The 15836-nt window shown below is 38.4% G+C and overlaps 1 protein-coding gene across 7 annotated transcripts in view, besides 2 other annotated features; it reads right to left on the bottom strand.

The window, feature by feature from the left end:
- Positions 1 to 15836, bottom strand: part of EML4 (EMAP like 4) — a 163196-nt gene that overhangs the window by 131334 nt on the left and 16026 nt on the right. The window lies entirely within an intron of this gene.
- Positions 5432 to 5576: an enhancer, noted in NCBI's record as "145 bp enhancer 263/264 fragment used in the MPRA reporter construct; PK_construct_177". NCBI's record gives its function as "activates an SV40 promoter by MPRA in HepG2 cells {active_cell/tissue: HepG2}" and the evidence as "EXISTENCE:reporter gene assay evidence [ECO:0000049][PMID:23512712]".
- Positions 5497 to 5510: a transcriptional cis regulatory region, noted in NCBI's record as "HNF1 motif; enhancer activity is reduced when this motif is scrambled". NCBI's record gives its function as "necessary for full MPRA enhancer 263/264 activity {active_cell/tissue: HepG2}" and the evidence as "EXISTENCE:site-directed mutagenesis evidence [ECO:0005528][PMID:23512712]".

The following is a 15836-nucleotide window of genomic DNA, read 5'->3' as shown; positions in this document are numbered from 1 at the left end:
TTATATATTTACTTAATAGCTAGATTTTGATGGTAATGCTTTCAGAGTTAATTTCCAGCTAGCATGTAGCCAACAAAAACATTTTGAAAATTAGCACAGTTGACAAAATCTTCAGAAATTCGACTTGATTGATGGAAATTAGAATACAGGTATCCTTCACTTAAAAGAACTTAAAAGTACTATACTTCTGTCATATTACTGCTATAGACAACAATTAGAGGATGCAATTCACTTAATTTCTTAGGGTCATCCTTAGGAGAATACAGCAGGCAGCCCATGGAGAACAGGGGAAGTGGAAAAGACTTGGAATAAACTGCATTCTAAGTGGGCCCTCATTTCCTGCCTCATTTCCCCTACTGTCCCCTGCAAAGCGCTGGAAATTTCAGTCCTTTGCTTTACATTCTTTCTCCCACCAAAGATTCAATAGAAGGCATGCCAAGACTATGAGTGTCTGCAAAAACTCTTTAAAAATGCCAAAAAAGATATAAAACATTCCTCTAGATATGAATTTAGAATTGTTATGATATTTAGAGTCAAACTGCTGAACTTGAGGATTACTGTCTCTACAAAGAAAGTCTGTAAGTCTGAATTAGTGCCAGAATTTCTGAAACCATCTTTTCAACTGGAGAAAGGGAGTTCAAGCCAAAAAGAGAGCTTTTGATCTCAATGACCAGCAAATAAGAAATCAGCATTTGTTGAATTAAATATGCCTGACAACCACAATACCTAACAACCTCAAATTAACATTTGTCCATAAAAGCATTTATGCCAAATTCAAAAAAGACTGCTCTCTACAGCTTACAGGTCACATGTGGAGCAAAGGCCATAATTTTTGTTGAAATTCTTTCTTTTTCCCCTTGTCTACACAGTGCTGATATTCCTCTTTTTTTGAGGCGTAGTCTTGTTCTGTCGCCCAGGCTGGAGTGCAGTGGCCCAATCTCGGCTCACTGCAAGCTCCGCCTCCCGGGTTCACACCATTCTCCTGCCTCAGCCTCCCGAGTAGCTGGGACTACAGGTGCCCACCACCATGTCCAGCTAATTTTTTTTTTTTTTTTTTTTTTGTATTTTTAGTAGAGATGGGGTTTCACCATGTTAGCCAGGATGGTCTCAATCTCCTGACTTCGCGATCTGCCCGCCTTGGCCTCCCAAAGTGCTGGGATTACAAGCGTCAGCCACCGCGCCTGGCCGGTATTTCTATTCTAAATCTCAGCAACCTTATTTACCCGGCCACTGTTCATCTCATTAAGGAATGATCCAATGTCAAAATTGTTTTTTAAGACTGGCATAAATGATACCCCATATACTTATCCTTTAAAGCAAATGGTCTCTTTCCATGATTCCACAATAACCCATAGATGACTTTCACTTCCCTGATACATTTACCATCTGACTAGTAACTTATGGCCTCGGATTTCTGTGACGCTTCGGTTCCTTCTCTTGCTTACCCGCTCACTCTCCCAAAAGGTTACCCTCTTTTCCAACCTTTTTCACTACTGCCATTTGCAATGCTTCTTATTTTCAAATAAACTTCTCTAGATCCTTTACAGAACCTCAGTCTACCTTTTGCCTCTAATTGAAACCAACTTTTCCACACGACACCACTTCCATTCCAGCTGAGTCAAAACGGCAACTATTCTTTCTCTTATACCTCTCAACAGAAAACAGGGAGATAACAGCATTGTCCTGTCTTCTTTCTATTGCAGCACACATATGATTACTCCAAAAGTCTCCTGCAAAACCTTCCTCCTTTACTTATAACTAGGATCTAACAACTAACCTAATTATTCATCATTATCATCAATCAACTTCTCAGTCACTCTCCAAATTACATATAAGTTTTGATCTTACTATCTAATTTACCTTTTCAGCCACCATTAGCCTGGGCAAATTCCAATCCACGTGAACATCCTAGCTGCTCTCCTCCTTAAGGAGTGAAGAGATAGCCACTACCCAATTGAATAATCCACCTCTATAACCACTCGCTTTATTACCCACAACAATTACTCATCTGAAATCTTAAAACTCATTATCTTGGCCCATAACCCCAAGCCCTTATCCTTTGTCTCTTTCACTCCTATTCCCCATCACACTTCACCCTTTAGCTTCATGGAAACTTTTGGTGTTAATGTTCTTCCACTTTCTCCCCACCTATCAACCTTGTCTTGGCTTCAAGGTGTTCCCTCTCCAGCCTAAACCCCCAAGATACATAACTTCAACCACTCTCACTGCAATACTTTCAACTTTTGGCCCCTGGGTCTTCCCAAACCACTCTCCTTTGTCAAGTCCTGCCTCCACCAATACCAGAACATTTTGACTGCCCAGCTTTTCTGTTTCTACACAATGGCTGCTGGGTACTGCAGAGAGAGACACAGGGAAGGAATGAGAATACATACACACAACAGAAACCACCACAAAAACCCATGGTCATCAAACCCATCTTGGTCTCTCTACATTTTCCAAGTGAACTCCAACTCCCATTGCCTCAATAACTATTCCAAATCCTCACAACTCTCTTCCAGCTTTCAATTCCACCACCTCCACCTCATACTTCTCAGAATGTGTCCTCACTTCCTCTTTCAAAGAGAAAATAGCAGACTTCAGGTAGAAATATTCCTCCCCAAATTAGCATCCTTACCACCTTTTCCTTTTAAAATTTTTCTTCTTTTTTTGTAGAGATGGAAGTCTCACTATGTTGCCCATAAGACCAGGCTTGAACTCCTGGTCTCAAGCAATCCTCCCACCTTGGCCTCCCAAAGTGCTGGGATTACAGGTGTTAGCCACCACACCCAGCCCCTCCCAACTCATTAAAACAGGTGCCTCTTGAGTTAAACACCAAGCCTTCCCCCAGTGCTTTAGAGTGTCTCCCCTATTACTTTCTTTAGAGACATTAGGTCAATCATACATGCCCATTCTCTCTCACATCTGATCTATCCACTGGTCATTTTCCCTCAGGATAAATATATATTCACATCTCTACCAACCAAAAAAGAAAAAAAAAATTCAATTTTAAGTCAGACTCCCTCTATCTCCCTTAAGAAGTTCTGGTAGGAGCAAGCTACAGGTGTTTGGACATTCTCTTTTTCCATTACTACCTAACCTGTAGCAAACTGGTCTCTGTAATTCCAGTAAAGTCACTGATAAGCAACCCTATCAACTAGGTACTTGTATTAGTACCACTTTACAAATGGGGCACACAGAAAGATTAAATAACTTGTCCAAGGCTACAAACTAGTAATTGCAGGTGCCAGGATGTACACGTAGGCACTGTGACTCTGGAGCCCAGATTCTTAACCACCACCCTATGCTTCAAATTACAAACATATATATTATGCTTCTAATTCTATTTTATAAATCCTGGCTAAAGGAGTACACAAGGTTTGAGGTGGAGCACATCTGGAGTTATTTCCAAAACTGTAATCTTTGTCAATAGCTAATGACACACTTACTGGCTTAACTGACATTTATTCACTATTTTGCTACACGTTTACTGGTTTCTTCTGAAGTGCCAATAAATGATCATTCTCAAATTTTTGCTTTTTAAGATAAAATATTCACTACCAATATATATTTCACAGATATTTAAAATTACTCATTTGTAGAACAGATTCACAATTTATGTTGAGTTTACACCATTTTGTTTTTTTTTTCTGAAGACTATTGTTTTGGATTTACTGATATTTTCATTTAAAAAAAATCTAGTATTTAAGCAGGTGTCTTAAATATATCTTTGCAAACAGAACTCTTATCACCTCCTGCCAATAGATGACTTGTGATTTTTATTGCCTATATCTATCTTTTTGGGGGGTTCTTTTTCTTTACCAACATCAATTTTTCTATTAACAAGTTTAAAAGATGGGGCGTGGTGGCTCATGCGTGTAAACCCAGTATTTTGGGAGGCTGAGGCAAGCGGATCACTTGAGCCCTCACAGTTGGAGACCAGCCTGGGAATATGGCAAAACCCCATCTCTACAAAACAATACGAAAATTAGCCAGGAGTGGTGGTGCGTGCCTGTGGTGCCAGCCACTCGGGAATCTGAGATGGGGGTATCACCTGATCCTGGGAGGTCAAGGCTGCAGTGATCGCACCACTGCACTTCAGCCTGGGTGACAGAGTGCGACCCTGTCTCAAAAAATAAATAAAGACACAATTTACTTCCTTAAACCAACATTTACTTTGATTCCTAGCATGGCTTTTCATTTCTGCAGGGCTCTTCTACTGTATTTATTCTATGGGCCTACAAAAACACTGAACATAAGTGAAATTTACTTTTTCAAAGTAGGGGGCACTCTTACACTAATCTCCCATTATAAAGAATGAGACTTCCCTTCTCTTTCCCACAGTAGAGGGCAGGGTGGAGGCAGGGTGGTTACTGTATTAGGTATTACAGAAAACTCTCCCAGTCTCTCTTCCACAAACTCAAGCCACAAACTCCTGCATGGGCAGAGGGGGAAGGGAAGTTACTAATTTGGTGGGTTAGATTTAGCTTTCCTTGGACCTTATTTTTAACAAGAAGGAAATTACGTTACTGCATAGAAAACAAGGCCATCTTTCCCTTTCTCACTCCAGCTCTTTGTTTCGCTGATAACTAGATACATAAAGTAAGCCTCTAATCTTCTCGCCAGCTGCCAGATTAAGTGTAGTCAGAGCAGACATGGCAGACGGAACTCTTATCATAGTCTCACAGTCTAGATTTGTTGGTGATTGCAGCTGACTCTCAATTTATCCTTAGATCCATGTTATGGTCTCAAATTCTGCTGTTATCAGACAGTCTAAATTTTAGAAACAGATGCTGTGTCCATTATTTATCTCTTAGAACCTGGAGACAGAAGGGCTAAATGATTGGCACTCCTAACCTCAATATATACCATAAGCAAGCGTCAACAGATGGTGATCATCATTAAGCACATATTAAGTGCTAATACTTTTATATGTCCTTTTAATCTGATCTTGCAAGGTAAATATTTTTATCCAAATTCATTAATAAATGAATGTATTAATTCACTCATTAATGACTGAATGTATTAATTCACTCATTAATGACTGAATGAACGCTAGGGTTCAGAGAAGTATTTGCACAAGCTTCCAAAGCTAGTAAATTTTACAAACAAGGTTCAATCTCAAATCTCTCTGATTCCAAAATTCTCAGTTAATGACCATACTCAATTTGATGAGAATAAAATACTATATCTAAGTCTGGTCAATGTATAGTATAGAAGTATGACCAATATTTAAACAATCATCAAAGATATATTTGTCTGCCATGAAAAAGGAGTAAATGATCCTCCTACAGTTGGTTAATGAAGCACTAGGTTCCACAGGGAATTCAGTTATTGAAAAATAATTAACTTTAATAACACTTGGTACAATAAAGATTGGAGAAAAAAATCTCCAATAACCTGATGCTCCATTTCCATCCAGGCTTCCTGTAGTAAATATGTAGTGTTGCAATAAAGCTCCTTGAAAAATGAGTCATCTTGAACCAAATATAATCAACAAGATAATGATTAACCAAAAGCTGGCACAAATCCTAACAGAGTAATATAATTCAAATTCAGCCTCTTAAAAGATAACTCATGTTTAATGCTGGTATCTCAGAAATGTAAGCCAATGATTGGGTTTATGGAATGGTCTATATATTGGCACAAGCATATGCAAACGTACATTTTAAATTTTTCTATGTCTTGTATTTTTATACTTAGCATTATTTACCCACAAAACCTAACAAACGGATTTCACAGTGTCAGATCTACATTTCCCACTCTATACAAAACTCTGAAAAATTATTTCTAATGTTTACTAAAATCAATTTATTTTTGCTTATTTTAGTATGGCATAAAAACTGAGTATGATACATTAAACATTATAATACTATGAATACCGTATCCTTAAAATGTAATAATGTAATCTCTCTCACACAAAATAAAATTAGTTAATAGTCGTGTAAGGCATATGCTCTAATGTTTTATCTGGTAGCATGATGAAGTTATCATATACCCTCTTACTTGCAATGAAACAAATCTAACAAATGACTAAAACAACTTAGGAGAAATACATTCCATGGCCACAAAACAAGGCCAAGTTAACTGGATCCCGAAGGTATAAACCCATAATTCTGACCTAAAAAAATACAGCTTCTATAATCAATGAACTAGCTAACCATGCAACTACTTTGAAATAACTAATAATTTTATAATATAATACTGATTACCTGATTTGGAAATAAAGCAAAGTCTTTGCCAAACAATGTTGTTTGTTAGCATTTATAAGCATATTTGTAAGAAAAAAATTAACTTTTAACTCTTATCTTACACCATACACAGAAATTAATCTAAGGTAGAACATAGACCTAAAAGCCAAAGCCCTAAGGAACAAATGATAAATCAGACCATCAAGATTAAAGATCCTGGCCAAGCAGTGGCTCACTCCTGTAATCCCAGCACTTTAGGAGCTGAGACAAGTGGATCACTCGAGCCCAGGAGTTCGAGACCAGACTGGGCAACATGGTAAAAATACCGTCTCTACAAAAAATACAAAAATAAGCTAGACATGGTGGTACACATCAGTAGTCCCAGCTACTTGGGAGGCTGAGGTGAGAGGATCGCTTGAGCCCAAGAGGTGGAGGTTGGGCATCACATGAGCTACTGCACTCCAGCCTGGGCAACAGGGCAAGACCTTGTCTAAAAAAAAAAAAGAAATAAAAAAGGTAAATTAAAAAGTCCTACTCAATCAAAAGATATCACTAAAAAAGTAACCAGGCAAGCCACAATGTAGGGGAAAATATTCACAAAATATTTTCTGACAAAAAATTTGTTTCCATAGTACAAGTCAACAATGATATAAATTATCCAGTGCAAAAAAAAAAAAAAGAGAGAGAGAGAAGTGAAAAATACAGATCTGGATTAGGATTCAGGACTAGATACAAAAAAAAGAAAAGAAATATAAAGAAAATAATTGAAAAATATACAAATATACTTTGCCTAATCTTATTTAAAAGGACTTGATTTCCTTAACCAAACACCACAGGATATCCCATTTCAAATAAGCCATTAACATTACACATTAAAAATTTATGATGACTATCTTTTTGTGTATATTTATATAGGCTATAAAAACAATGATTAATAAAATTTAAAATGAGCAAACATGAATTACCCTAAAAATGGTAAAAGGGAAATTCTGCAACTATTTCACAATAAAGTAATGTTAACACAGTTTAAAATAAGACTGCAGGTCAGGCACAGTGTTTCAGGCCTGTAATCCCAGCACTCTGGGAGGCCAAAGGGAGAGGATCACTTGAGCCCAGGAGTTCCAGACAGTACAGGCAACATAGTGAGATCCTGTCTCTACAAAACATAAAGATACTAGCTGGGTATGGTGGTGCATGCCTGTAGTCCCAGCTACCCAGGAGTCTGAAGCAGGAAGACTGCTTGAGCCCAGGAGGTCAAGGCTGCAGTGAGCCATGATTGTGCTGCTGCACAACAGCCTAGGTGACATACCAAGACCCCACTTCATTAAGAAAAGGAAAAAAAAAAAAGAACGCCTATAATGACTCAATAGATAGATGACAAAAGTGAAAACTTAAAAGCAAAATATATCAACAATGTCCCTTTAAGAAATCTCAGCAATGAAAAAGGTCAAAACTTAAAGGAATTTAAATCATTTTAGTTCTCATTATAGCATCAGATTGGGTTTGGCCCTAAGAAATAAAATTGCAACAGCAACTTCTTTGCTAAGAAATTTTCCACTGTCAGTCTAAACAATCACACAGCAGACACCATTCTAAATGCTTTTACTCTTTTTATCGTTCATCTAAAAACCAGCTTCTACTAATTTTTCCTTCAGCAGAATAAACTGCATGCACGTTTTGCAGTACAGACATGTGTCAGTTCTGAGAAATGCATCACAGGCAATTTCATTGTGCAAAATCACAGAATGTACTTACACAAACCTAGATGGTATAGCCTACTACAGACCTAGGCTATACGGTATAACCTATTGCTCCTAGGCTATAAACTTGTACAGAATACTACTGCACTGAATACTGTAGGCAATGGTAACACAATGGTATGTAAGCACAGAAAAGGTACAGTAAAATACAGTATTAAAATCTTATGGAAATACCCTCATATGTGGTATATGACTGTTCTTTACTATGAAACATATTGTACTGCAGCTAAAGACTAAGGTTTGGCTAAGTGGAGCCAACCAGCCAAACATGTCAGTTTCCACCACCTCCCTGACATACACTATACTACCTCAGAGTCTGCAAAGCAGTTTCATGACTGTTGAGTTTCACCAATCACTCCTCCAGATTAGCAAAACCCTAAATGCTTTCTGCAGATGCACCAAGAATCTCAGGGTCTCTAGATAAGGACCACAGAAAAGTGAAAATCATGATACTGGAATCAGTTGCTCTGAAGACTCAGAGAAGAGCAACTGCTTCATTTATCACTGTTTTTCTGGGTTTTTGAATCCTAGTGGGAGCCAGTTATTCTAGCAAAATCCTTCATGCTTTAATGTCTGGGGTTTACAAATGATGCTCACCTATTTCTCATCTAACTCTTCATATTGCAATCAAAGAGGCAAGAGATGACCAAGATTTTTTTCATAAAAGGACTCTAGTATTTGAGGGACTGGAGTGGTCAGAATATGGTCTTTTAAAAAGAAAACAGTAGGCTGGGCACGGTGGCTGATGCCTGTAATCCCAGTACTTTGGGAGGCTGAGGCAGGTGGATCACTTGAGGTCAGGAGTTTAAGACCAGTCCGGCCAACGTGGTGAAACCCTGCCTTTACTAAAAATATAAAAATTACCCAGGCATGGTGGTGGGTGCCTGCAATCCCACCTACTCAGGAGGCTGAGGCGGGAGAATCTCTTGAAGCCAGCAGGCAGAGGTTGCAGTTAAGCACCAAGATTGTGCCACTGTACTCCAGCACGGGCAACAGAGGAGCAAGACTACACCTCCCCCCCCCAAAAAAAAAAACAAAAAAACAACAAAAAAAAACCAGCAAAGAAAAGAGTAACTTTCACTGAGGTATAAGACCCAGACTCTTGGGGAAATTACATTCAAAACTAGGGATTTTTTTTTTTTTTGAGACAGTTTCCCTCTTATTGCAATGGCCTGATCTCGGATCACTGCAACCTCGCCTCCCAGGTTCAAATGTTTCTCCTGCCTCAGCCTCCCGAGTAGCTGGAATTACAGGCATGTGCCACCATGCCTGGTTAATTTTGTATTTTTAGTAGGGATGGAGTTTCACCGTGTTGGCCTGGCTGGTCTCAAACTCCTGACCTCAAATGACCTACCTCAGCCTCCCAAAGAGCTGGGATTACAGGTGTGAGCCACCGTGCCCGGCCAGGTTTCTTATTGACCTCAGGTGATCCGCCCGCCTCAGCCTCCCAAAGTGTTGGGATTATAGGCGTGAGCCACCACGCCCGGCAAAACTAGGGATTTTTAAAATTCAGTTTGAGGTGGTGATAAAACATAAAGTGGCAACGGCAAAGAGAACTGAGCATAATACAAATAGGTAAATGAAAAGAGCATAAAATTAAATAATTTTAAATCAATATTAAACAATGTCAACAGACACAATTTGGGGTGGCTAATTCATAATTCCCCCAGGTGGCCATGTCTGCACTACCCTATCCTTCATTTGAGAAACTATCCACTCTCCCTCCTATTTTTCTAAACATTGGTTCTAAATGAGAACTCTTATCTTCCTACATGACCCTGCCCTTTCAACACATAATGATTAACAGGGGGATGAAATTTTGATGTAACAGGACCAAAGTCCTGCCTTAGAATTTCTCAAACTAGTGTTGAGGGAGGGAAACTTTGAGGATGTTGTTCCAGAGCTACCGGTAGCCATGACCACTGCTGCTGGGGGAAGATCATTTCAGAGAATAAAGCCAACATATAGAGAGAAATGGAAGAGACAGAGTTCTAATGATAATGTATAACTTACCCTCAATTATGTACATAATACATATTTTACTTTATATTAAGCATGACACACACTTCCCATGGTTATTCTAAGAATTAAAAAAAATAATGAACATAAAGGCACTTTGTAAACTAAGTTTATCAGGGCTTACTATTCAACGAATGCAATCACTTTGTCTTTCAATTTAAAAAGTATGCACATATATAAAGTAGAAAAGGTAGGTAATAAAATTCAATGTAAGATATGACTATAACCATAAAACAAATGCACAAGACCAGGGGCCTGCAAACTGGCTACACAGCCAAATCTGGCCTGTCAACTGTTTTTGTGTGGCCTGCACACAAAGAATGGTTTTTGCATTTTTCAATGTTTGGGGAAAAAAATGAGTAAAAGAATTTTTTGCAATATGTGAAAGTTACCTTAAGTTCAAATTTCAGTGTCCATAAATAAAGCTTCACTGGAACACAAGCAGGCTCATTTGTTTACATATTGTTTATGGCTGCTTTCATGCTACAACAGAGTTAAGAAGCTGCCTTTACAGAAAGTTGCCAACCCCTATGCAAGACTATAAAGATACACACCAAAACACTTAAAATTATTGTGTCAGGAAGTCAGGATCATAAGTAATTTCATCTAGTCTCTACCTTTCCAATGTCTGAGATGTGATATTACTTTTTATGAAAACAAAACTTAAAAAAATAGCTTCTATCTGATTTCCCATCATTCACTGTATAGCTCATCTAATTCATCTAAGTCTTCCCCACATCACTAAATAGTACTACCAAGTTGATCAAGCTGAAAAACTAGGAGTTATCTGTGATTCATTGGTTTTCTTCGTCCCTTACATCCATTCATCAAGCACATCCATAGGCCCCTCAAAATATATCCCAAACCCTACCGTTTCTTTTGCCATCACTACTCAAACTCTAGTCACCATTATCTTTCATCACTACTCCTGCAAGAACCTCCTAACTATGACCTGACATTGTGGGGGGACTCAGCAGGAGGAGGGAATGGGAGGGAAGAGACTTAAGGTTGCAAAGAATAGAAAGTCTGGCAACAAAAGAGAATATAGATAACACATACACACTCAAATAGTCTAAAGCTTAAGTTCTATCATCCTGACAAGAACATCTTTAATTCTTAAAATAATTTTCTCAAGGAATATTTCTGCTTTCTTTTAACAAATCTTGCCTCTTCCCTGCATTTCTAAATTTAAAATCAAATTATAAGCACCTCTTCTGGTTGTAAAACACCATCACCTAAAAAAAAAAAGAGCCCAATTTTGATGACTTTTTTTTTCCTCTTTGCATTTCAGATTGGGAATTTTGACTTCGTAATATGTCTCATGATGTTAGTAACCAAGGAAATGGATTAGCTGTCTTCATATAGCTATATAATTAAATAAAATTTTGTGATTGAATTATTCATAAAACACTCTTTCTTCAGTATTCAACATAAGAGAACAACAGCAAATGAAAAAAGTATCGTATAGTGGAAAGCACCGTATTTTGAAAGGCATGACTTGGGCTTCAGTGCTTTATCACACTAACTGTATGATATCAAACCAGCCCTCTTAAACCTTATAGTTTCCTCTTTTATAAAATACAGATATTAATGTCTGTTCTAATTCCTAAGATTGTTAGTGAATTAAGGAGATCATGTTTTTGAAAGTAATTTTATTATCATTTATTTGAGACAGGTTCTCGCCCTGTCACAGAACCTGGAGTGCAGTAGCAAGATCACAGCTCATTGCCACCTTGAACTCCTGGTCTCATGCAATCCTCTCGTCTTGGCCTCCCAAGTAACAGGGACTGCAGATATGCACTACCACGCCTGGCTCACTTATTTTCTCTCTAGTAGAGACATGGTCTTGCTATGTAGCCCAGGCTGGTCTTGAACTCAATCTAGGAGAGACATGATAAAGGCCTGAAACAGGTCTCCTCCTCTCTTCCCTTGGTAGTGGGATAGGAGACATGGACAGATTTAAAATTAAAGAGGAAAAATCAGCAAGACTCTCTTATAAATCAGGCACTTCATGAATATAATTTCAGGTGCTCCCCACAGTAACTCTGAAATATTATCACTGTTTTAAAAATAAGGCTCGTGGTTCGTCATGGTGGCTCATGCCTGTAATCCCAGCACTTTGGGAGGCCGAGTAGGGAGGACTGCTTGAGCCCAGGAATTTGAGACCAGCCTAGGCAACAAAGTGAAATCCCATCTCTTAAAAAACTTAAACAAAAAGGCTCAGAAAAGCTGTAAGTGGGATAACTGGAGTTGGAACTTTAAAAAGTCCATGCTCTTTTTACTGATTTTGCTATGTCTATTTTTACCTGGGAATAATGCTGCCTACCTGGGCTCAAGCGATCCTCCTGCCTTGGACTCCCAAAGCGCTGGGATTACAGGTGTAAGCCACCATGCTTGGCCCTTGAAAGTAATTTTAAAAGTAGGCTGGGCATGGCGGTTCACACCTGTAATCCCAGCCCTATGGGAAGCCAAGGTGGGCAGATCACCTGAGGTCAGTAGTTCAAGACCAACCTGGCCAACATGGTGAAACTCCATCTCTACTAAAAACACAAAAATTAGCCAGGCATGGTGCAGGTGCCTGTAATCCCTGCTACTCGGGAGGCTAACACAGGAGGCAGAGGCTGCAGTGAGCCAAGATCGCACCACTGCACTCCAGCCTGGGTGACAAAGCAAGACTCTGTCTCAAAAAAAAAGTAATTTTAAAAGTAAACCCTAAAATATAAGTACCCAGGAGCAGTGGTTCACGGCCTGTAATCCCAGCACTTTGAGAGGCTGAGACTGGCGGATCACTTCAGCCCAGGAGTTTGAGACCAGCCTGGGCAACATGGCAAAAACCCTTCTCAACAAAAAAATACAAAAATTAGCCAGGCATGGTGGTGTGCACCTGTAGTCCCAGCTACTCCGCGAGGTGAGTGGGAGGATCACCTGAGCCCAGGAGGTCCTCTACATTATTTTCCATTTCCTCTACATTATTTTTCAAATATATAAAAATTTTAATTGAAACCTTTACTATCAGCTATAGTAATTAAGACAAGGTGGTATTTGCTTAGTGACAAACAGAGACTGACATAACAGAATACAGAGTGCAGAACTCCATCTACACATATGTGGTCTGTTGATTTTCAGCAAAGGTGCCAAGGTAATTCAATGGAAAAAGGCTAATCTTTCCGATTAGTTCAATTGTGCTGGAACAAAAATCATCAGTGTGCAAATAAACGAAACTTGACTTTGTACCCTATACAAAAATTAACTCTAAAGAGATCATCGACCTAAAAATAAGAGCAAAAACTAAGAAATAATAAGAATCTTTGTGACCCTGGGTTAGGCAAAAATTCCTTAAGTAGGACACAAAAAGTATAAACTACAAAAGAAAAAAATAAGTTGAACATCAAAATAAACTGATAAATGGATTTCATCAAACTAAAAAACTTTCACTCTTCTAAAGACTGTTAGTTTATGAAAGGGCAAGCCACAGACTGGGAGAAAATATTTGCAAACCACATTTTTTATAAAGGACTTGTACCCAAAGCATATAAAATACTCTCAAAACTTAAGGCAACCATTTTTTTTTAAAAAAAATGAGCACCAAATAGGAGAATTCATAGAGAAAGAAAACAGATTCATGGTTGCTAGGGCCTGAAAGAAGATGTATACTCAAATGTTCACTGCAGCTTTATTCGTAACAGCCAAAACTAATAGCAACTGAAATGTCCATCATCTAGTCAATAAACTAAGTGTGGTATATTCATACAAAGAAATATTACTCAGCAATGAAAAGGAACGAACTAGTGAAACAAACAACATGGATGAATCTCTAAAGCAATATGCTACGTAAAAAGCACAAAAAAGACCACAGATTATAAGATCCCAGTCATGTGAAATTCTAGAAAAGACAAAATACGCTGGATGTGGTGGCTTACCCCTGTAATCCCAGAACTTTGGGAAGCTGAAGCAGGCAGATCACTTGAGCCCAGAGTTCAAGACCAGCCTGGGCAACATGGCAAAACCCCATTTCTACAAAAAATTAAAAAAAAAAATTAGCCGGGCACGGTGGTGTGTGCCTATAGTCCCAGCTACTTGGGAGGCTGAAGTGAGAGGATTACTTGAGCCCAGGAATTGGACGTTACAGTAAAATGAGATCCTGCCACTGCACTCCAGCCTGGGCAACAGAGCAAGACCCTGTCCCCCCCACCCCCCCGCTCCAAAAAAAGGAGAAGAAAAAAAAGACAAAATACAATGGAAAAAAGCAGATCAGCAGTTGCCAAGAACTGGAGTCTATGTAGAGGGAAGGGGCTGACTACAAAGAGGCATGAGAGAATTTTTTTGGTAATGAAAATGTTCTGTATCTTCATTGTAGTAGTGAATACACAATGATATAAATTTTTTAAAGACCCATTGTACTCCTAAAATTGTCATTTTATTATATGTAAAGGACAGCTCAATAAAGCTGATTTAAAAATTTTGAAGTCTGAAAACTACTCTGTAGTTCTACTCTTTCACTAAAACCAAGATATGAAATGCTCTAATGTTGTTTTAAAACAAAGGACTGTGAGAATTTGCTATCGAGAATGCATTTGATAATGAAAATGCCAGACAAATCCCCAAAGGAGCAGAGTATACCCAGTTTTAAATAAGTCCAATGAAGTCTGACACAAATAGCTAACTGCCTTATCCAGGGTTAAAACAAAATGTCAGTGATGTGAGGTAGGAAGAGATTAATAAGCAAAGAAAAGAAAATGATTCTCAAAAGCTTGCTCTAAAAACACTTTCTCATACATTTCTTAGGAATGTGTCTTTATCTTATCTGTTGTTTTTCAAATTCCATAATCTACCCTAGGGTATACAGCAAGTTTGTCAAGTTAAAGGCATTAAAAATATTTACCTTACAGTAAAAAGTTTTTTTTTTTCAAGTATAAAGACTTTCAAAAAGTCAAAAATCAAATTCATTGTGGATCCAGAACGAACAAACCTGTGCTTAATACAGGGAAATAAAAGTGCATAGTAACGTAGTTCGGCATCTCCTTATTTTGGCTATGTATTTTTCTGTGGCAATTATAAGCTATTTGGAAAATAGGAAAACTGATTCAATCCAAAGTAGGTAGGCAGCATTATTCCCAGGTAAAAACAGACACAGCAAAGTTCAGTAAAAAAGCATAGACTTTTTAAAGATCAAACTCCAGTTATCCCACTTACAGTTTTTTGGGGCCTTTTTAATTGGTATTATAAAATAATGACCTTTCAGAGTTACTATGAACACTTAAACTCATATGCATAAAGTGCCTGATTCATAACAGAGTCTTGTAGATTTTTCCTCTAATTTTAAATCTGTCTGTATCTCCTATCCCACTACTGAAGAAAACCAGAGGGAAGACCTGTTTCAGGCCCTTCATGTCTCTCCTAGATTACTGCAAAAACTCCACACTGATATTCCTATTTTCAATATTGTCTGCTCCAATTCATTCTCCCCAGTACGAGCAAACTAAACTTTCTAAAATCCAAACTTGATTACATGTCCTTTAGTGGTTTCCCCCAACAGCTTCAGGCCCAAAGCCAAACTCTTCAGCATGACGCTGAAGATAATCAGTAATATGGTCCTCTCCTGCCTTCATCTCTCATCTCCATACTCAATTATTAATATTTACTTAGCAGTTCCCCAATGACCCCATGCTATGTTCAGGAGAGTATAGTTAAAGAAGTCTCTCTAACTGCCTAGAAGTAAATCATGGCTCAACCTTAACCCAAGGCTGAACAAGTTTCAACCTTAAGCAAGGGTTGAAAACTTTTTTCTATGAAAAACCAGACAGCAGAGATTTTTAGGCTCTGCAGGCCATTTGGTCTCTGTTACTACTACTCTACGCTGCCAGTGTCA

This window comes from Homo sapiens, chromosome 2, assembly GCF_000001405.40.
Source record: "Homo sapiens chromosome 2, GRCh38.p14 Primary Assembly".
NCBI lineage: Eukaryota > Metazoa > Chordata > Mammalia > Primates > Hominidae > Homo > Homo sapiens.
Note: the sequence above shows the minus strand (reverse complement) of the source record. Positions and strands in the feature narration are given on the sequence as shown.